Source organism: Homo sapiens, chromosome 20 (assembly GCF_000001405.40).
Source record: "Homo sapiens chromosome 20, GRCh38.p14 Primary Assembly".
In the NCBI taxonomy this organism is placed as follows: domain Eukaryota; kingdom Metazoa; phylum Chordata; class Mammalia; order Primates; family Hominidae; genus Homo; species Homo sapiens.
This window is the reverse complement of record NC_000020.11, coordinates 13,421,488-13,445,187: the sequence shown is the minus strand read 5'-3', so window position 1 is coordinate 13,445,187 and position 23,700 is coordinate 13,421,488. Positions and strand designations below refer to the sequence as shown.

Genomic DNA, 23,700 nt, shown 5'->3' with positions numbered 1-23,700 from the left:
CAGTAAATTTATCCGAAGATTGAATATCTCTCCCATATGTATATGGGATTATAGTTTTGATTATGGTTTGGAAGTTTGGAATTTTCTGTTCTGAAATAAGGTGACTCTTCCTATCTTTTAAATTTTGTTAGATAAGGGATTTCAAAATGGTTATTGGCCAAACTTAACTCTGTTTTCAATTCAACTCTCCTCTCCTCTTTAAAAGTTAATTTGGAGACCTTAATATTATGCTTATCACCAGAAAATGGCACACAGTGATGATACCCATAAGCTGGGCTGGAGGTGGATTCTTCAGGAACAGGTAGTCCTCTGGGTTTATAGACAGAGACCTGGACCAGTGGTTTAATGCCCAGCTCCCACTTCTTCCTTGTGTTTCTGTAGGCTCATTTACCTCCATATGCCTAAGGTTCTTTCTTTGTTTCCTTTGGTTTCTCTTCTATAAAGTGAGTGTAGTGAACATCATTCCATTGGGATTTTTGTAGGAGCAGCAAATGGTAGAATGCAGTTAACTTAATATACATCTTATAGGACGATGGAGACAATCTTGTAGACTTAAGTGCATCTTAAGAGAAAAAGTCCTTGATCTTCCAGGAAGTATAAATTGTTATCCTACTTTGGTATTTAAATAATATATTTATAATCTTTTGTTCTGGAGTTAATGTATGTGTTTTCAGTAGAGAATATTCATCGTTTCCCCAGTATTTTCTCGCTCACCTGACCTCCAAACTGTCTGTGTGTCAATATATTTATTTTTCTCCATAGATATGTAATTCCTCAAAGAGAGAATGGCATTCAAGTGATTTGGCGCATAGGAATTAAAAAGAAAAAAGCAATGCACAGAAATTCATTGAAAGGACAGAAATTCTTTATTAAATGTAATGGGAAGGTGGAACACTAGCAGCTACCTTCTAGCTACAGAATGCCTCTCTTGATAAATTCCCACATGTTGAAGAGGAAGCTGTGTGTCCGGTTTTGCAAAAGGAACTCTGATGTTTTGGCTTGTCTAGTGTCAGGTAATGCTGGTTGTGCTTGTGGGTAGAGATGAATCTCTAATACTGAAAATACTCCTAACACTATACATGCACATCAGAGACTACTAGTCCAGTGTCTAATTTTTCAGATGAAGGAAAAAAAGCACGGTTCAGAGAGATAGAGTGTCTTGTTCAAGAATACAGCACCAAATCTGGAACTCTGATTTCCTGGTTCCTTGGCTCTTTGTTCTGTCCATTTGTGTGTTGTGGACATCTGTGGATTTGTTTGTCTAATCCTAACTCTACTCCACTGGCCTTGTGGTTCCAGTTGATCATACCAGGGTTAACCCCTTTGGTTTTTTTCCTCTTAGATTTTATGAGCTGGCAAATTCCCCTTTCTGCTTTAGATTTTTCTAATTAGGAATCTGTTACTAGCAACCAAAATAATATGCATTCAAATTCTTGTTAACTGCTCTGTTTTAATATTCATTGTGGTTCTCCTCTCAAATTTCTTCAGTGTTTTCGTCCTTAAAGATTATAGCACAAATACAATAAGTGGGTCTGTAATTTGTGTATAGTCTGGATTTACAACCTAAGTGAATGTCCAGATTACATACATTTAATCACAGTGAGTGTGTCTCACCATCTGTAATTACAGTTTCATTCCATAGCAGTTACAGACTTAGGTATTTAAGGGATCTAGTTGAGATTATTATAGTGAATAAAGTTTGATCTTCTTTCTTACTTCTTTACTAATCCACTTGTTTTTTGCAGCTGCTTGCACATATGTTAATGGAATTTAAGATTGTCTTAATTTATTAATTTTTGTCCCCAGTTCCCTCTGTGGATATAGAAAGCGCTTAAGCAGTGCCCCACATGTCATTCCATGTTAATTTTTCTTTCTTTTTGTTTTCTTTACTAGTAAGAGGAATAAATAATGTTTCCTTTTATATAGACACTTCAACATTTTTAGCTAGGGAAATTGATACCCTATCACCACCACCATCTAGTCAGTTGAGCACTGGTTCCAGCTGTTGTAGAAGATTAACTAGGCCAGTATAGTAATAGATCTTGTTCCACATGATAGTCTTTGAAAACCAGCAAAATGCTGAAGGGTCCTTACCATCAATGTTACTGCCACCAAATGTTTAAATAGCATCTTAGAAGTTAAAAAGTTCATACATACAAATTCAGTCCTCACAACAGCCTTCAAAGATGTCTTTTAATATCTGTTATTTATAATGAAAAAACTGAAGAGTGCAATTTAAAAAATTATATCTTAATAACACATAGTTGCTATCCCAAGACTAAAACATGGTTTTCTGTCTGTGTTAGTGTTTTTCCGGCACCATGGTGATCATATAAAAATCTGAGTATTTTCCACAAAAAATATGGAATCTTGAAATGCACTCTAACCATACTTTCATTAAATAATTGGATGAACTCATACCAAATGCAACACTGATATAAGCTTGCATGGTAGCCTGGGGCCCCTGCTCTCTTTCATAGCACTTATGTAAAAGTGCCATTCTCTCTCTGTCTCTGTTTTTTTGTTTGTTTGTTTGTTTGTTTTTAAAGACAGAGTCTTGCTCTGTTGCCCAGGCTGGAGGGCGGGGGCACGATATCGGCTCACTGCAACCTCCACCTCCGGGGTTCAAGCAATTCTCTGCCTCAGCTTCCTGAGTAGCTGGGATTACAGCCACCCACCACCATGCCAGGCTAATTTTTGTATTTTTAGTAGAGACAGGGTTTCATTATCTTGGCCTTCAAGACCAAGACGGTCTTGAACTCCTGACATTGTGATCCACCCACCTTGGCCTCCCAAAGTGCTGGGATCATTCTCTTCTTTCTTGCCATTCTCTTTGCCACACTTCAGTGATGTAGGCAGGAGTATGTGTGTGGTGTGTGTGTGTGTGTGTGTGTCTGTGTCTGTGTCTGTGTGTCTGTGTATGTGTGTGTGTGGTGGAATTGTTTTGCTAATCACTAGGGGGCTTTAAAGGTAAATCAAATACCTTTACCCCAGAAAGTCTGGATCTGTATAAAAGGCACTGGAGTTAAAGAACAGACTCAGTTTATGGGGGGAAAGGGAGCCAGGAAGGACAGTTCACAACAGTGGGCCCAGGGGGAAATCTTAGGGGAGTGGAGTTTGGGAAGTACAAATGATGTGTAAAATAAACAGGGTGATAAGATTGGGAAGGATAAGAAAGGCTACGCCAGACTAAGGAATTTGGGCATCATTCTACAGGCAGTTGGGAGCTATTACAGGTTTTTCAGTTGTTTAATGATATGGCCATGGCTGGGATGCATATCTCTTTTTACAGTAAACTTTGAAGTCTCTGTTTCCCATGCCTCTCATGTCCCTTCCATCAACAACTCTATTAGTTCTACTTGCAGAATATATTGCAGACCCAGCTTCTGTAGACAGCCTCCACTGTCACAAGGCTCACCCAAGCCACTGTCATCTCTCAACTGGGCTGCCACAGCAGCTTCTTTAGTGGCTTGTTGCTTTTATGCTTGCCTTGCCACTACATTCTGCACAGCTAAGTAACTTTTACAAGTCCAGATAAATGTTATCACTGTCTGTGACCTGGCCCTGCCTCTCTCTTGAAAGCATGTTCTATCCTCTCTTCCCTGACCCTCCCTCACCTCAGAGTCTCTGCATTTGCTGATTGATCTGCCTGGAATGGTCTTTCCTCAGATTATCACATGGTTAGCTCCTTACCAAAAGAGGCCTTCTTGCTCTTTAATGTAGACAAGGCTCAGCCCCAGTGACACTCTCCATCATTTACCTGGTTCATTTTCTTCATAGCACTTACTGCTATTGGGTGGATTTCCATATTGGTTTGTGAGTTTAATACTTGTCCCCCAAGCTGCTCAACTAGATGTATGCAGGGGCTTTGTTCACTTCTGTATCCCCAATGCCTGGAAGAGTCCTGGCACTTAGTACATTTTTATTGAATTAATTAATTTAGCGATTTGAATGACTAGAGCAGGAGGCCATATTGGAGCTAGTTGCAGGGTTTCTTGGACAATGAGAATACATTGAGGGTCTTGTCAGTGGGAATGAAGGGAGGGGGCAGGCAAAAATGAGGTAATAGGGAGAACTAACAGATTTGACATGGTTTGAAGTGTTGACTTGTTGGAGAGGGAAGAGGTAAAGGATTTTGAGCTTAGATGAGCTATAGGAGCCCAGAAGAAGTTTCTGGATTTGGTGGTAAAAGGAACAGTTGTAGAGGTGCCATGTTTGAGTACTGCTGGGATGGAGGTTTCCAGCACACAGTTGCATTTTGAGGTTATTCAGAGATTTTTGTGTTACCTGAGAGGCATTGCTACAAATGAAGCAAGGATCATGGCACAGAAGATGCTGGGGGAAGCCATATTTCCTACTCAACTATAGCATGGCTGTAGCAAGTCATTGAACCTCTCTGAAACTCAGGTTCTTCATCTGTAAATGATAATAAAATGTCTCATGGCAGGTGGTTCTGAAAATTAAACTTCTCTCAGTGTATTATATTTCTCCCTCTTTTTTTTTTTTTAGCTTATCAGTATGAGAGTTTATATTTGTTTACTCTAGCTATTCACATCCTAACTACATAGTATACTGTGATTCCATTTCATTTCTTGTACAAGTCTTATTATTTTTTTGGTAATAGTCACTCTTTCATCTCCAAACTTTCCTCAAAATCTGAAACATTTTCTCTCAATAATTTCAAACCAACATGTATTCAGTCAGTTTATTTTTCCCTCCCCTTAGAATTACCTTTCCTGGCCTCTTCTGGCTTCATGCTCCAATTTGGACAGTTTGCTCTCTCAGCTTGATGCATAGCTGTGTCATCTGGAATCCCATTATCTTCTCTTGTTTTGGATCCTCTGTATCCAGATCTTATTTTCTTCCTCATTATTTACCTCCCTTCTTCATTCTGTCAAGGAACATTCATCCTGTAGCTTTCTGAGAAAGAATGCATGGGAGGTAATCTCTTTGAGACTTTGTAGAGCTTTATTCCACTTTCATACTTTATTGACCTTTTGGCTGAATATAGAATTCTAGGTTGGAAATAATTTTTCCTCAGCATTTTGAAGATAGTGCCTCATCATCTTTTAGCTTCAGGTGTTGCTGTTGTTGAGAAATCTGATGCCACTGTAATACCATTGCTTTCCATGTGATCTTTTCTTCCCATTTGAAAGTTTTTAGACCCTTCTCTCCTTTCTTAGTATTTTAATATTTCATAGTGTTAAATCTTCGTGGGGCCCCTTTTTCATGAGTTGTACGGGGAGGTTGATGGACCTTTTCAGTTTGAACACTCATCTTCAATTCTTGGAAATGTTTTTGAATTATTTCTTTGAAATTTTACTCCTTTTATTTTTTCTAGTCTCTCTTTCTAAAACTCCTGTTATTCACATATTGGATAATTCTGGCCTAGCTTTATGATTTTCTTATATTTTTGACTCATTTTTCATCTTTTTAATTTTTTTGTTCTTGTTTTGTTTTACTTTTCTTCTGCTCAGGACACTTGCCCAAATTTTCCCTGTGTTACTCTTTTGTTTCTTTTTTCTTTTTTAATTATACTTTAAGTTTTAGGGTACATGTGCACAACATGCAGGTTAGTTACATATGTATACATGTGCCATGTTGGTGTGCTACACCCAGTAACTCGTCACTTAACACTAGGTATATCTCCAAATGCTATCCCTCCCCACTCCCCCGACCCCACAACAGGCCCCGGTGTGTGATGTTCCCCTTCCTGTGTCCATGTGTTCTCATTGTTCAATTCCCATCTATGAGTGAGAACATGTGGTGTTTGGTTTTTTGTCCTTGCGATAGTTTGCTGAGAATGATGGTTTCCAGCTTTATCCATGTCCCTGCAAAGGACATGAACTCATCCTTTTTTATGGCTGCATAGTATTCCATGGTGTATATGTGCCACATTTTCTTAATCCAGTCTATCATTGATGGACATTTGGGTTGGTTCCAAGTCTTTGCTATTGTGAATAGTGCTGCAGTAAACATACGTGTGCATGTGTCTTTATAGCAGCATGATCTATAATCCTTTGGGTGTATACCCAGTAATGGGCTGGCTGGGTCAAATGGTGTTTCTAGTTCTAGATCCCTGAGGAATCGCCACACTGACTTCCACAATGGTTGAACTAGTTTACAGTCCCACCAACAGTGTAAAAGTCTTCCTATTTCTCCACATCCCCTCCAGCACCAGTCGTTTCCTAACTTTTTAATGATCGCCATTCTAACTGATGTGAGATGGTGTCTCATTGTGGTTTTGATATGCATTTCTCTAATGGCCAGTGATGATGAGCATTTTTTCATGTGTCTTTTGGCTGCATAAATGTCTTCTTTTGAGAAGTGTCTGTTCATATCCTTTGCCCACTTTTTGATGGGGTTGTTTGTTTTTTTCTTGTAAATTTGTTTGAGTTCATTGTAGATTCTGGATATTCGCCCTTTGTCAGATGAGTAGATTGCAAAAATTTTCTCCCATTCTATAGGTTGCCTGTTCACTCTGATGGTGGTTTCTTTTGCTGTGCAGAAGCTCTTTAGATTAATTAGATCCCATTTGTCAATTTTGGCTTTTGTTGCCATTGCTTTTGGTGTTTTAGACATAAAGTCCTTGCCCATGGCTATGTCCTGAATGGTATTGCCTAGGTTTTCTTCTAGGGTTTTTATGGTTTTAGGTCTAACATTTAAGTCTTTAATCCATCTTGAATTAATTTTTGTATAAGGTATAAGGAAGGGATCCAGTTTCAGCTTTCTACATATGGCTAGCCAGTTTTCCCAGCACCATTTATTAAATAGGGAATCATTTCCCCATTTCTTGTTTTTGTCAGGTTTGTCAAAGATCAGATGGTTGTAGATATGTGGCATTATTTCTGAGGGCTCTGTTCTGTTCCATTGGTCTATATCTCTGTTTTGGTACCAGTACCATGCTGTTTTGATTACTGTAGCCTTGTAGTATAGTTTGAAGTCAGGTAGCGTGATGCCTCCAGCTTTGTTCTTTTGGCTTAGGATTGACTTGGCAATGCGGGCTCCTTTTTGGTTCCATATGAACTTTAAAGTAGTTTTTTCCAATTCTGTAAAGAAAGTCATTGGTAGCTTGATGGGGATGGCATTGAATCTATAAATTACCTTGGGCATTGAATCTATAAATTAGGATTGACTTGGCAATGCGGGCTCCTTTTTGGTTCCATATGAACTTTAAAGTAGTTTTTTCCAATTCTGTGAAGAAAGTCATTGGTAGCTTGATGGGGATGGCATTGAATCTATAAATTACCTTGGGCAGTATGGCCATTTTCATGATATTGATTCTTCCTACCCATGAGCGTGGAGTGTTCTTCCATTTGTTTGTATCCTCTTTTATGTCATTGAGCAGTGGTTTGTAGTTCTCCTTGAAGAGGTCCTTCACGTCCCTTGTAAGTTGTATTCCTAGGTATTTTATTCTCTCTGAAGCAATTGTGAATGGGAGTTCACTCATGATTTGGCTCTCTGTTTGTCTGTTATTGGTGTATAAGAATGCTTGTGATTTTTGCACATTGATTTTGTATCCTGAGACTTTGCTGAAATTGTCTATCAGCTTAAGGAGATTTTGGGCTGAGACAATGGGGTTTTCTAGATGTACAATCATGTCATCTGCAAACAGGGACAATTTGATTTCCTCTTTTCGTAATTGAATACCCTTTATTTCCTTCTCCTGCCTGATTGCCCTGGCCAGAACTTCCAACACTATGTTGAATAGAAGTGGTGAGAGAGGGCATCCCTGTCTTGTGCCAGTTTTCAAAGGGAATGCTTCCAGTTTTTGCCCATTCAGTACAATATTGGCTGTGGATTTGTCATAGATAGCTCTTATTATTTTGAGATACGTCCCATCAATACCTAATTTATTGAGAGTTTTTAGCATGAAGCGTTGTTGAATTTTGTCAAAGGCCTTTTCTGCATCTATTGAGATAATCATGTGGTTTTTGTCATTGGTTCTGTTTATATGCTGGACTATGTTTATTGATTTTCGTATGTTGAACCAGCCTTGCATCCCAGGGATGAAGCCCACTTGATCATGGTGGATAAGCTTTTTGATGTGCTGCTGGATTCGGTTTGCCAGTATTTTATTGAGGATTTTTGCATCGATGTTCATCAGGGATATTGGTCTAAAATTCTCTTTTTTTGTTGTGTCTCTGCCAGGCTTTGGTATCAGGATGATGCTGTACTATTTTATTTCTTTTGGTCTCTGTCTTTCCTAAAACAGAGGCCTAACTAAAACAACTAATAATCCTAGATTGTCTGTACTCTTTAATAGTTAAATACCAACTGTTTGGTATTAACTATTTAATAGTTAAACGCTAAGCCGAACTAAAAACCTTTAGTGTATGAGTCATACTTGTCATCTTGAAGCTCTTACCCTAAGTCGAGGACACGTTTTCTTGGGGGTGTCTCTCAAGTAGGTCGTTAGTCTTGAGTTGGCTGCGTTGCTGGAAAGGGATTATCCAGTCTCTTCTTGGAGGATATCAGCTTGATTTCTTGCATCCTGGGAGCTGGTTATTTCACTGTTTAGCATAAAGACTTACACCTCAGCTCCCTGTTTTCAGTGTGTAGCCTCTTTCCTGCCCTGGGCTAACCCTGATGCTCCCAAGTCTCAACTCTCTAGTTCACCTTCTTTAGAGAGTAAATATCCTGGCTTCTTCAGCGTTAGGGAGGAGTCACTTCCTTTTTGGAAAGGAATTGCAGTTCTGATCTCCTGTTCTAGATCAGGAGTTGGCAAAGTTTTTCTGTAAAGAGCTAGAGAATAAAGATTATGGGCTTGCAGCCTGTGTCACGGTCTCTGTGGCATGTTGTCTTCCTTCTCTTCCTCCTCCTCCTTTTTTTTTTTTTAAAACAACCCTTTAAAAACTAAAAACAAAACAAAATAATGGCATTCTTAGCAGGACAACCTCTGGTCTAGAGGATTCTTTTGGACACTGTCAACCTACCATCTTTTATCCTCTCTACCCTGTACCCCTGCCTTCAGAGGATCTTGAAGCCTACAATTTCTGAACCTTTTTGCATTTTACAGCAAAACTGGTTTGGTTTCCTGTGGGTATCCTCCACTCCAGTTTTCCCCTGCCTCATGAAAACTTAGGTTTCAGCTTTCATGGGTTTGCTAGGTGAGCAACCACTTGTCTGTCTTCTTACCGTTTTCCAAAAGGTCAGTTTTTTCCTTGTCTGCCTCTTTCTCTGCCCTTATTGGGCTATGGCTTCTTTCTTCCTTTCCCATCAGTTCACTAGGATTTGGAGAGGGAGGGAGAAAAATACATGTATTTAATATAGTAAGTTTAAGCAGAAGCTCCCACCAAATCCAATTTGATTGGTTTTGATTTTTTACTACTCTCTTTGATAGTTCTTGGGTTAATTTTGCATTTATTTTCCACGTGCTCACTTGCTATGCCAGATGTTTGAAGAAGATGTCCTTGGGCAAGAAAAATGAGGGGTTTTAAAATATAATGTTCTTGAAATGTTCACAATGGTTCAGTGTGTGAGATCTCAAGGAAGCCCAACTCTTTCTAACCACCAGACTCTCATCATAGAAATGCAGTTTCACCCTTATTTGTGCGAACCATCAGAAGCATTTAAAAATGTTTATAATAAAGTTTGTGGCTTATTGTTTCAAATTGCATTTAAGGTAGTAAACTGAAGCTTTTGGTGGTGTGTCCCTGACAGCAGGGAGAGCCTGTGGTAAGTGATCCCTAAGAGTTGATCAAAGGGAGTCATTGAGCATTTTTTCCTGTATTTGTGTTTTGGTCCTTTAATCTGGTAGCATTTCCAATTCCATTCTGAATACAGTAATGCACATTCCCTCCCCCACTTACATCTTCTTGACAGCATGTGGCATTTTCTTTGCCAAATGGCCCCTATTCAGGCATAAACCTGCCTTTGCCATCAAGTATATAATGAGGTATGAACAATGGTGATTATCAGAAAATGGGCATTTTCTTATTCATGCCACATTTTTGTTCTAATAATCAAATGAAAATTGAAAATTTAAAAAGTAAAATTCACTGAAAAATAACTACTAGTCCTTTCTGCCTAGGTTCACCTTTCCTTGCCAGTGAAGATGGCGTGCTTGGCGGAGTGATTGTCCTCCGTTCATGCAGATGTTCTGCCGAGCCTGACTCCTCCCAAAATAAGCAGACACTTCTAGGTAAGTGAGACATATACATTGTGTGTGTCTTTCTATTTTTTTTTCCAAGAAAAAATGAAAATATTTATACCCTTAAGTCAATAATTTTAAACTGCGGGAGGGTCAGCATGCTTTATTGATATCTGAACATCCCTGTTCTACTGATCTTTTTCCGTAGATAAGCATGTAAAAGATGAATGTTCATTTTTAAGTATACACTTAGAGAATATATTTCAAATAAGCTTAGAACCAAGGACCTTTACTAAAGTCCAGTATTAAGAATGTTGGACCCTGTATTCATGTCCTATCTTATTCCACAAAGCATTTGAGGTGACCCATAACAAGGCACACAGTAATAGAGAGGCTTCTTCCTGTTCCCCTTCCCCAAAAGGAATGAGAAGCATGTGAAGAGCTACTGGCCTTAGAGGTCAGTCCTGGCTCCGTGGCTCGTTAACCATGACACCTTCGTGCATTGGTCTTGCTGTTCCATGCTACTTCCTCATCTGTAAAACAAGGACATCTGCCCTGGCCTCCTGATAAAGCTGTGGTGAGGGAGGGTCAAATGAGTATTTTCGCAGATTTGCAGATTTCCATCCAGATGTGTGGTTTTGTTTCTACCCAAGCACCAGTGGGGATGAAACCCAGCCCACCCTCTGTGAAGGCACAGAGTTGTGGGGCTGCCGCTGACCACAGGGTTGCCTTTTTCTAATCCATCTCTCCAGAGGGGACACATTAAAAAAATCTGCATAAAGGTGACACATGCACTAGCAGGGGCACTATTTGTTATTTTTTTAAAGTTAACTTTTTAACTGAAGCATACATACATTTAGAAAAGTCTACAAATCATAACTGCAACTGCTTGATGAATTATCACAAAGTGAACCCACCCCCTATAACCAGCATGCAGATTAAAAAAAAAATAGAACTTTGCCACAACCCCAGAAGTCCCCTTTTGACACCTTCTGGTCTTTATCCCCTCCAAAGTTAAACAGTATGCTCACTTTTAACACCATGGTTAGTTCTGCCTGGTTTTATTTATTATATAAATAGAATCAGGAATACGTATCACTTGTGTCTAATCTTCAGTCAGCATTCAAGCTTGTTAGATTCAACAATGTTACATGCAGTAGGAGTTTGTACATTTTCATTGCTGTGTTATATTCTACTGTATGGTGATAGCTCAGTGTATTAGTCCATTCTTCTGTTTTTTTTTTTTTTTTTTTAATACAAACACTATAGGTCATCCACGGGGGTTGTGGTAGTTTAACCCTTCCTATAAATTTCCTTACAGAAAGCGTGAGTGGTGCCTGATGTATATTGTGTGATTGTTGTCGATTGCTATAGTACACGTCCCTTCATAGTTTATAAAATAGAAGACTGTGTGTTTTTTATGGGTATAAAAAATACTTTTTCTATAGGTGCCCAAAACATTTTCATAAAATCTCTTTGTTCATTCCTCAGAGAAAAACTACACTTTATATAAAAGGCCTTTTTCTCCACCTGGACACTAACCACCAGCTGTATTTTTTTTTTTTTTTTTTTTTGCCATACTGTCTCCTTCTACCCTCTGCACATAGTACCTAGGTTCCTCCAAGGAGATGTGCTTTTTAACAGTCATGTTTTGTTAAACCAAGACAAATACTAGTTTTCTTCTTTGGTGTCTTAATCGTTGTTGAATCCTTTGAATATTCTTCCAGTTAGATAGTTAAACCCAACCTGGTTGGTTTTAAACATAAGCAGAGGATGGACATGGGGTTTACATAAAACCTTTGCAGGGACATGGATGAAGCTGGAAACCATCATTCTCAGCAAACTTAACACAGGAACAGAAAACCAAACACCACATGTTCTCACTCATAACTGGGAGTTTAACAGTGAGAACACATCGACACAGAGAGGGGAACATCACACACCAGAGCTTGTCAGGGGGTGCGGGGCTAGGTGACGGATAGCATTAGGAGAAATACTTAATGTAGATGACAGGTTGATGGGTGTAGCAAGCCCTCCATGGCACGTGTATACCTATGTAACAGACCTGCACGTTCTGCACATGTATCCCAGAACTTAAAGTATAGTAAAACAAACAAACAAAAAACCTCAGAAGAATAACCCCTAGTGTTTGGGCAGCGGTGGGTTGGGGGGGGCATTAAAATTGTTTCATCGATTATTCCTAAAAAGGAGTATCACAGTACTTTGCTGAGCCTGGACTCTTACCCATTTGTGTTAACCCTGAAAACTGTAATGTCTTTTTGGTTGTCTTTTCATTTTTGGTGGTACAGAAATGCATATTTAAGGATAAGTCATAGTATTTTAGCTCACGTTATATAGTTTTTATTACCAATGTAGTGATTTATAAACTGGTTCCTACTCTTTATTTCAAGAGGAAGCATTAAGTGTGAAGTGCCAGTTTATGAAATAAGTGAAACCTTGCCGTTCATTAACTGGAGGCGTTGATGCTTATGAAGCTTATCTACTAAAACCTGGCGAACATAGGCTAATGTCAACTTATAGATGCTACCAATTATGTGAACTTTCTATAAAAGTTATGAATGTGAAGTATTTGGTAAGAAAATAAATTCAAACAGTATAGAAGGATAGGAAACAAAGTAAATTCAAACAGTATAGAAGGACAGGAATCAAAGATGTGAAAGTCACCTTTTACACTCCATTTCCAGAGCCACCAGTCAGTCTTTGGTTCTGGTTATTCTCACGGGAAACACCCTCACTCTGTAGAATGTGCTCACACATCTATTTCTTGATTAGTCAGTAACTTGTGACCCCTTGCTGTGAAAAAGTTAAAAACTTAGCTCACACCATGTCCCACTTCCCTTCCTTCTTGATTTTTGTTGGAATTCTACTCTAACTTGAAATAATATGTTTAATTTTATTGTATTTTAGCACACTGTTTCTTGATATATTAACTTTATATAATGTCTATCAAACATTCCTCACCACTTCAACTATATAAGTTGAGGAAAGTTCATGCACTGTTTTCTGTTAGTCTGTTTCTATTGCTTATAACAGAATACCTAAAACTAACAGAATATCTGAGTAGTTTGTAAAGAAAATTAATTTATTTCTTACAGTCATGGAGGCTTAGAAGTCCAAGGCCAAGGGGCTGCATGTGATGAGGGCCTTCTTGCTGGCGGGGACTATCTGTAGAGTCCCATAGGGGCACACTGATGTCACATGGTGAGGGGGCTAAGTGTGCTAGCTCAGGTCTCTCTTCATCTTCTTATAAAACCACCAGTTCCACTCCCATGATAACCCATTAATCTATGAAGATATTAATCCATTCATGAGGGCAGAGTCCTTAAGACCTAATCACCTCTTCAGGGTCCCACATCTTAATACTGCCGTATTGGGGAATAGGTTTCAACATGGATTTTGGAGGAAACAAACATTCAGACCCTATAGCATTCGCTTTTCTCCTTTTCTCTTCCTCCTTCACTCTCCTACCTCACCTCAACCTCTGTCAACAATACCATTGTTGTTATGATTATTAACATTTGCCTTCTTATATCTGTACTTATCTCTATAGTTTGATCAGGGATTGATTCTAAATAATGTCAGTAACCAGCATTAACAGCATCAAGATTATAGTATAAATAGTGCTCACTGCATACCCTAGAAGCAGAAGATTGGACCCATAAAGATCAGGGTTTGTCATAAACCTCTGCCTGTAAAAGGGGACTATTTCAGTCATCAAGATCAAGTGGATTCTCCTTTCTATCAGTTGCTCCAAATCAGGCTATAAATTAATTTGCTTCGTGTTTGGACCATGACTTCCCATGACTTTATGACTTTTTCACTGTCATAAGAGTATAACTATAAACTCATGGCTTCTGGAGCTCAGTAATTTCTAGTAACGAGGAAAGCTCAGAAGTCTTTCTTTTCTACACATCCAAATAAAACAATTTCCAAAATTAAAAAAAAAAACTTAACTGCTGTGTATTGTTAATCACTTTTTTGGTCCCAAGAATAATATAATCACACAATCTCCTACTGTAGCCTTTTCTGTGTCCACTTTCTTTTCTCAAAATTGTAAATAATGTTCTCATTACACCACACAAGCAGTTTTCAGTCGAACCTCATTGCCACTTGATGGAGTTTCCTGGAAGCCGTTATGTAGACTTTCCTCTTGACAAATACATTAGTTATCAGAGCTCCAGTGGGCTGCTTCCAAGGTGATATGACTCAAGTAACAGACACTTTTGAGGTTTGCCCTTTGTCTACTGATTCATGAATAGAATCGGAGAATCTCAGGTATGAAGGAACTTTCAAAGTCCACTTGTGTGACCTTGTTACAGGTGCTTTGTCCATAGTTTGTTGAATGCTCCTCCCTTCAAGAGGTGGAACTCAATTTCCCTGCCCTTGACTGTGAGCCAAACACTAGAGACTCGCTTCCAACCAATAAATTTATGGCAGAAGTGAAAGTGTCTGATTTCTGAGACTAGGTCAAAAAGGCATTGTGGCTTCCTCCTTGGGCTCTCTGTTGAATCACTCCCTCTGGGTGAGACCAACTGCCATGTCATGAGGACACTCAAGCAGCACTGTGGGGAAGCCCACTTCGCAAAAAACTGCGACTTCCTCCCAACAGCTGCTTCTGAGGAACCGGGGCTTCCTGCCAACGGCCTCAGAGATCTGAGTGAGCCTTCAGGTGACAGCAGTCTATGGCAACATCTTGACTGAAATCTCATCGGAGAGCCTGCTAAAGAACCACCCAATGAAGCCACCGTGGAATTTCTGACCCACAGAAACTGAGATAATAAGTGTTTGCTGTCTTAAACCACCGCATTTTGAGAGAATTTATTACGTAGCAGTAGATAACTAATAAACTTTTTAAGCCCTTTCGTCTAATGAGCTGTAATGACAAATCAAGATGCTCTGTTGCCATCTTTAGGCAGCTGTTGGGTTTTGGTTTTCATCAGTAGATCCTGATTCTCTTTTTGGGGACCCTCTAGGACAAATATGATGCGTGTCCTTTTACATTGCAGTCTGTAATCAAGTTTCCCTCACCTCCTTAGCCTCCTCACCTCCAGCCTTTCTTCCTCTATTTGTCCCCTCAGTCCCGTCTCCATTATTGCTCCCAGAGTTCTTTCTATATAACAACTCTGCAGCTGGCCCAGAGAACATAGCCATGGGTCCCAAACCAGGGGCAGGAGAGAAGACTTCCCGAAAGAAGAAAGGGCAAAAATGAGAACCTGACCTAGAGAGCCACACCAATCCCAAGATCAGAAGGACACTGTTCAACCCAAGAGTGACATAAGTATATGTAATTAGTTTACTATACGTCTAAGCTAAATGTTGAATCTTCTTATGTATACTAAAATAAAAACAAACATGTATCTCTTACTGTTACTTCAATGCTCTCTACCTTTAATTTTTCAGCAGGCAGCACACACACAGACAGGCACACACACAGACAGACACACACACACACACACACTCACACACACCCTGTGCTGGTGAATTTCCTATAGCACAAATGGGAGCTACCTAACTTGATGGGAAATGGCATCCCCTGATCTGACCTCAGAATATGCTTTCAGTGTTATTTCTGACTAGTCCTTTTTAAAAAAAAAAAATAATTGACAAATAATCGTAATAATTGTATATGTTCATGGAGTTCAACTAGTTTTTCTCTTCATTCATTCTCAATGTCTCAACTCTGGCCACTCCACATCACTTGGTCTTCCAAAGAGTTATTTTTTTCCCGCAATAACTTGCATATGCTCTTGCTGTGCTAAGCTCTGGGCCAATACAAGTCTTTAAAACCCTGATCAAATGTGAATCTTCTTCGAATCCTCTGGAAGTCCTCACCCCAGGTAATTTGCTCTTTCCTTGTGCTCTGTTAGCACCATGCAGTTGACATTCCTTCTAACAATGACTGTGACACATCCTAGCCCCTTCTCATAGGCCAGCACTTCTTAATCTTTTTTCTGAACTCAGTTATTTGAGAGGAATAAATCATAGGTCTTTGAGCTCCAGTGACACACACAGGGGCTATAGAGGTTTGAAATATCTTTCCAGGCGCTGGAAAATTCCACTGCTTCTAAGAATCATACCACCAGATTGTGAACTATTTGAGGGCAGAAGCCATGTCATATTGAACTTAATAGGTTCCCAATAATTATTGGATGGATGATTTAGGTGCCAAATGGAGTTTCTTTATTGATGATTTAGCAGAAACTTTAAAAGAAGTTGATTCTTGTTCCAGAAAAATGAAATATCACAGAAAATATTCTCATGCTCACAAAAAAACAAACAATATTGGTTGGAAATGTTGGATAATGAGGAGCATCCAAGAACTAGATGATTTTGAGGCAGTTTAAAGGGATCACAGAGGAAAGTCTCTGCAAATAGCCTTGTAAAGGGACAATTTGGATGTGAACATGTTTGCAACACCCATCCTGCCACCTCCTACCCCCAGATCATGAGATGCTGACAAAGCCCAGCCTACAAATCGCTGATTTAACGCAAAGCAAATGCTTGTCCCTGGAATGAAACAGCTGAAAAGAATTAATTTTCTCTCTGCTTTTAGAGAAAAAATAAGCCAATGTATTTTTACCTGCTGAAGTACAATTACATGTGCTTTCCAGGCCTCTACAGAAGTGCTTTATTGAGGCTGCCGTATATAGTATGGTTAATAAATGGATAAACAAAGGCAGGCATACCAAACCAAGTCTTCTGGTGAAAAAAATGAGTTCTTTACCATTTTAAGCTTGTAATTAGATACAGGTAATTAGAATATATGCAAATATATAGCATAAACAGCCAAGCTTAGTATATGGGTTAATTTCCTGTTTTGCACCTTGTACCAAAACATGTGTTGTTGGGAGCCTGATAGACCCTATGAAGTTCAAGGGTGTCTGCCAGGGAGTGGTCAGTAGGAAGCAGTGAATGTGGCGATCAATGAAAAACAGATTCCATATAGAAAAATCTTAAGCAATTCAGGATAGGAGGCATATGGGCTCTTAGAAGTAAAAAGAGGCTGTGTGTTTAACCAGTGGCTTTTGTGCCAAGCTTGTGTTGGAGTTCTTCATCCTAAACAGATTTGAGGCCCACAGTTCATCCAGAGCCTGATTATGCGATGAGCACACATGTAATTGTTACCTTGCCATTAAGTTAACCCCACCTTATGCAGAGAATAACTTCAGATTCTTTCCTATCAACAGATGTGTTCATAATGCTGATAATTAACTTTTGTACATGATCCTGCTTCCATTTGTCCAGCTACCCTTTTATCCTTTTTTTCATCTTTTACTATGAAATGTTTAATATATTTTTAAAAGAAGGACATAATAAATTTGTAAGTTATAAAGGACAATAATAAAATGAACACCTGTGGACCTGCCACCAAGCCTAAGAAATTGCCCATTACCCATATGTTTGAAGCCCCTATGTGGGCCTCTCTGATCTTACTACTGTGCTTTCTCCCTCCTTTACTTTGTGTTTACCCCCTGCTTTTCCTGAAAGCTTTTTCACACTTTTATATGTCTCTAAATGGTACATTGTTTAGTTTTCCTTGATTTTAAACTTTATATAAATGGTATATGATTTATTATATGAAAATTTCCGCATGTTCTCACATAATTACCTGAAAGGATAATGAGTTATTTTATCATTGTAGACATAGCTCTATCAAATCAAACTGTTTTACTGTGGCCAATTAGAACTCAAATGCAGTATTTTCCTCCCTCTTTTCAGAATAGGCAAAGTTCTTTATCGAGTACTTTGTTTTGTTGCTGTTACCAAAGTATGCTGTGGTTTCAAAATAAAAAATGTTAAATTGAATTGATGCTTCCTGGAACATTAAAAAGATAAAAGGTTATTTTACTGTAAGTTAAAATTCCAAACCGCCTTTTGGTTTTACTGGTATTAAAAATTTGGCGAGCACATATAAACACATGTACTTCAAAGGAGCTTCATTCTCAGGGCACCAGCAATATCACTTATTTCCATTACATGGCACATGCCACAGTGAGCACTTATGACTAGGCATTTCTGCTGGGCTCACATGATCATAAACATAACCATCAAAGAGAACACAAATTAGCTTTTAGGCTGGTAGTGGGAAAAGAGGTATTTATAGATGTTTGTCTGATGTTAATAACTTTATCTTAAGAATGGAATTAAAACTTTGTTCTACGTGACAGTCCATTGTCATGGTTGGAAGCTCATTTCTTTAGTTGCCTCAGCAATGTTTTGGAATTGTTACATCTTCACTATAGTGAAGATATCTCTTAAGAGATAAGCCACATTTTAGTTCTTATTTAAGGATCAGATGGAATGAAGAACAGTAAGTAACTTAGATGCAAGGTGAATGAGGCAGACATGATATTTAAACTTTTCAACAATGAAGAGTAGCATTAATCTGATGAAGTAGTGCTCTGAGATTAATATTTTCAGAATTAGTTTTGGTTTTATAATACAAAGATATTGATTGCAAGTATCTATAATCTGACACTTTGTTTATACCAGGACTTTCTTTCCTTTAAATCATGAACATATCTCTATATATTGTATCACTAATATACTCTGAATATTGGAAATAGATTTTCATCTGTAATTTTCTTCTCCATCATGAGAAGTATAGTTCTAGTGATTATCTTGCCAAGAAATATTATTTTTTGGCTCACAAAGTTTTCCATCTGAAATATAGAATACAAAAATTTATGAATAGAATTCTAATGACTATGTAATTCTTATTACACTCAGGAAATTTTATAGTCAGTTTCATCTGCTCAAAGGATAATAGAGTTTACCATGAAATAAATCCTAAAAATGTGTTGGTTGAATGAATAAAATTGCGTTTTAATAAAACTTGTTTTACTGAATGGTTTTCTGTTCACCAGAGAACTTCCAAGTCCCAACCAAGTGGCCCTGTTTCCAGCAGCTTCTAATACAATAAAAGGATAAAACAGGAAGATAACTGAAGTGTCCTCCAGGACTTTTGTTACTATTTGACCCACATCCTCCTCTTTTCAGTCAGCATCCTTTGTTAGTTAGTCTTGAACAAATCTAAACAAGCCTTAGAAAGAGGGAATGATTATTTTCTTGGCTTAGTGTAACCAGGATTCTATAGAACTCAATCCCCGTTGCTCCCAAGACAGTTAAGTGGTGAAAGTTTTTCAGGGAAGCATGCCAAGTCAAAGTTTCTTCATGGCCATAATGGGACATGCATTATATGAGTCTTAAGGATTCCATGTCAAGACAGTAAAGCGTCTTTGCATTTTTTTTTTCTAAAGATAAACACCCTGCTGGTTATAAAGACCCTAACAACCAGGGGCAAAAATCTACAGTGATAAGAGGAGGCTGTTCTATTTACAGTGCCTCATTCTTCCCATTTAAAAAATGAATTTCTCTTTATTCAATAAGGAGTAACTTAAATACTGTGCAAAATGTCCCAGGGCGTGCCATTTGACCTAAGGCTCAAGAGTGGCAGCTAACTTGGCAACTGCCCAGCCCAAGACGGTTCTGATTTTGGAGTTCTGTTTTCCTTGCAAGCAAGTCTGGGATGTGAAGCTAAGCAGAGAGGTTTTAAGTGGGTGTGGGAGCCAGTGCAGCTGGGGGTTGTTAACAACAATTGGAGGACAATATATGTATATATATTTTTAAAGAGGAGGAGAGTGACTGATGACTTCTTTCTGGTCAGAAAAAAGAATCCATTTGGATAGAAAAAACTTACTTGCAACCTGGTAAGGAAATGGTTTTGTCTGACTTAATTTAAACAGGATGATATGTGGATGATTTTGAAAGAGAAGTATCCTGGGGAAAACATCATGAGAGAGGTAGCTTGTAGCTCTTTTAACCCATAAAGCTGGTGATTTAAATGCCACTAGGAGGCAAAGCCTTGCATTGGGGATTAAGGGCTGCTTTATATAGCAGAGCTCCACCAAAACTGAAGTAGTACCGGTGTTGGGCATATAAATTTACTTGTTCCAAATTCTTAAATACAACTTTCTGGAAAGCCTAGCCTCTAAGATTAAGTACAAATACATCCTGAAGGTTCTTATAATGCAATTAATCCATCATTTATGAAGTGCACACGTGCAGCTCATCCCTATCTAAGCCATTCTCCAATGTTGGAACAGGATCAATGGTGTGTACGTTTTCTCACATTGCATTTGTATGACATGATATGTTAAGAAGCCACTTGATGGAGAAGAATTGTGCCAAATCTCTGTGTCTATGTTTCACATGTTAAACCTACTCAGAATCTTATTTTAGTGTGTTGTTAATGTTTTCTGATGAGAATCTTTTCGTGGTCTGGGCATTTCTAGAAGTCCCACAAAGCCCTGGGCTTTGGCCTTCTAAAGAACATAAGCATTTTTCAATCAGTAGTTGAGGTTATAAACAGCTACTAGTCACTACCAAAGGAAAATGGTCATTACTGAAAGGCTAGAAGCTTCTCTAGATGGAAATAAGCTTGAGCTTGACCACACCGAGACTGTTATAGCCAGCGCTTTCACAGGCTCAGATGTGTCACTTCAGGCCACTCATTTACCCTGCGTGTTGCTGGAGTTCATGGTCTTCCTCATGTAATCATTACACCTGGAAAAATTCCAGTGCTATGAAGTAGCATTTCCCAGGTTTGCTGTGTTATTAGAATTATCTTTTAATACTCTTACCATAAACTTCAATTTTCAGTACATGGAAGAATTTCAATTAAGTACTCAAAATCAGGAGACACATTATAGACTTCCAGATATCACTGATGGTAAATGCTACTCTTTTACTGAGATTTTAAATTTTTCTATGTAACCGTATTTGAGCAAACTTTGTACTACTCTTTGCTGAGTTTTAATTATACATTAGGACTTAACTAATAACACATTTTGAAAGCTTTTTTGTGAGATAAAACTTACTCACAAATGTCTCTATTTATTTTAAAAAAAACTTATAATGATTTTGACCTTTTAAAATTTCTGATGGAAAAGCAGCTTGAGGAAGTTGTCAGGTACAGTGCGTGTTTGTTTTGTTCTGTTTGTTTTGATTGCCCTTTGAACATAGCAGATTTTGCCTTAAGTATATGTGTTTGGTGTAAATGGAAGTAGAGGCTTCTTCATGCCCCATCCTAAGATTTGCTTATGTTTTAGATAATCATGAGACAAGAAACAAATTGGACGTTTTAGACTAGTTTCACATCATGATAATACATTCTAATGAGGGACAATTAAAATATATGCTAAAATCAGAATGTCTTCATCTAAACAGGGAAGAAATTCTTCATATATATTGTAGGTTAACAGGGTAATCAAGATTTTTAGAGGCATTAAAAAATAGGAAATATATGAAAACAGGATCAAATTCAGAAGTTTCAGAAGGTGGTGAAAAATAGGTTGCCCTTCACTCAAGTTCCTTACTCAACTAGTTCCCTCTACAGGAGGAACCGTTGCTGCCAGTTGCTAAGATAGTCTTCCAGAGAGACTCTATGTACTTACAAGCATGTTCATACATGATCGTCTTTTATTTTATTTCACAAAAATGGCAGAACCATATCTATACATTATTCTCCACCTTACCTTTCTTTTTTTAGCCAAGCTATCTTGTAGACTAGTGTTTTTTTTTAAACTGCAGCATGTCACATTAATAAGTTCTAAATCAATTTAGTAAATCACAAGCAGAATTGTTAAAAAGCAATAAGTAGACTATAAAGAACCCAGTAGAAGAGATCAATACATTGTTAAGTAGAAGAGCAATTATTACTTTGTGAAATTTTAGTTATAAATAGATGTGTGTAGTAAATGACAATGTGTGGGGTTTTTTTTGTTGTTGTTTGTTTTGATTTGGTTTTGGATTTTACTGTGGCTTGTGATCAAAAAGTTTGAAAAACAGTGTAGTTGGTTCCATATCCATGTAGAGCTTCCTCATTTGTTTTTAATTGTTACATAGTATTTCATTGTATACAGTATCATAGTTATACATATGTCCAATAGGCAATTAATTGGTTTCCAGTTTCTTGCTGATTAAAGCTACTTTGATGAAGATTCTTATAAATATGTTATTTTATATATATAAAGGCATATCTGTGGAATAAATATCTAGAAATAGAATTGCTAGGTCAAAGAGTGTGTAATTTTGATAAATACAGTCAATCCTCATTATTCCTGGATTCTGTATTTGTTAATTTGCCTACTTGCTAACATTTATTTGTAATCCATGAATCAGCATTTCAGCACTCTCATAGTCACTTGTGGACATGCATGAACTGGTAAACATTTTGAGTCACCTCATGTGCACATTCCCAGCTGAGGTAAACAAGATGATGTTCTGCCTTCCTGTCTCAGCTCTGGTACTACAAATGTATCCATTTTGTGGCCTATTTTGTGCCATGTTTTCCACATTTTTGCACTTTTTAATGGTGATTTTGCCATTTAAAATTGCGCCAAGCATAGTACTGAAGTGCTGTCTGGTGTTTCAGAGTGCGAGAAGATGGTAGTGTCTCATGGGGAAAAATGTGCATTTTGGATAAGCTTCATTTAGGCAGAAATTATAGTGCTATTAGTGGTGAATTCATTGTTAATGAATCAACCATATGATACACCCAGATAAAAGAAGAGGAAACTCACTGATCTGTATGTGAGGCTGCTCCAGAAGGTGCTAAAGTAACATCTATATATGCAGCAATGGAAAAGATGGAAAAGCAGCTAAATTAGTAGATTCATGAAATGATGACCAATAAAAAAAGCATAGAGGACAGCATTATTGTGTAACTTGAAAGCCAAAGAAATTTATGGGCATGTTACCCAGCATCAGGAAAACGTTAAACCCTTCTTGGCTAGTGTTTATGCATATAATTATTTCTAAATAAATAAGTAAATAAATATTTTTAAAAGATTAAACATTGGGAGGCCGAGGCACGCGGATAACAAGGTCAGGAGAACGAGAGACCATCCTGGCTAACACAGTGAAACCCCGTCTCTACTAAAAACACAAAAAATTAGCCGGGCGTGGTGGTGGGCGCCTGTAGTCCGAGCTACTAGGGAGGCTGAGGCAGGAGAATGGCGTGAACCCGGGAGGCAGAGCTTGCAGTGAGCCGAGATCACACCACTGCACTCCAGCCTGGGTGACAGAGCGAGACTCTGTCAAAAAAAAAAAAAAAAAAGGTTAAACAGAAACACATATAAAATAAGGTTATTTGTTGATATGCTATTAAAAATGTTTTGACCAGAGATTTGCAGGAACTTAGCCCTGTATTTTCCCTACCTGTAGTGGCTCATTATTTGCTAATTCAGTGTTCATCAGCATTACAGAGCATAATTACCACGGATTAAGAGAATGTTCTTGCAGATGGCCATACTCCCACCACTGCTATATGAATCTGCTCTTTTCTCCACTCCCAGCTAACACGATGTTGTTTCAAACTTTTTGATATCTGAAACCTGGTAGTCTGATAATAGTCTGAAACCTGATAATGGTATCTTGTGATTTTAATTTGCGTTTATTTTAGTATGAGTAATGTAAATTATCTTTTCATATGTTTTAGAGCCATTCATATTCCCTTTTGTTCATATCCTTTTTGCATTTTCTTTGGATATTTGTCTCATTGATTTGTAGGAGATCTTTAAATA

General features: G+C 38.1%; 1 protein-coding gene across 20 annotated transcripts in view; it reads left to right on the top strand.

The window, feature by feature from the left end:
• Positions 1-23,700, top strand: part of TASP1 (taspase 1) — a 534,161-nt gene that overhangs the window by 193,745 nt on the left and 316,716 nt on the right. For 17 of the 20 annotated variants that reach the window (XR_001754319.3, XR_007067463.1, NR_136629.2 and 14 more), the window contains one exon: positions 10,034-10,144. Coding sequence is in view for 14 of the 20 variants with exons in the window: in XM_047440269.1 (XP_047296225.1) it covers positions 10,034-10,144 (111 nt within the window). In the remaining 6 variants the exon portion in view is untranslated. Of the gene's footprint in view, positions 1-10,033; positions 10,145-23,700 lie in introns of those variants that run through there. The other 3 variants (XM_047440271.1, XM_047440270.1, XM_047440272.1) reach the window with 2 other exon arrangements.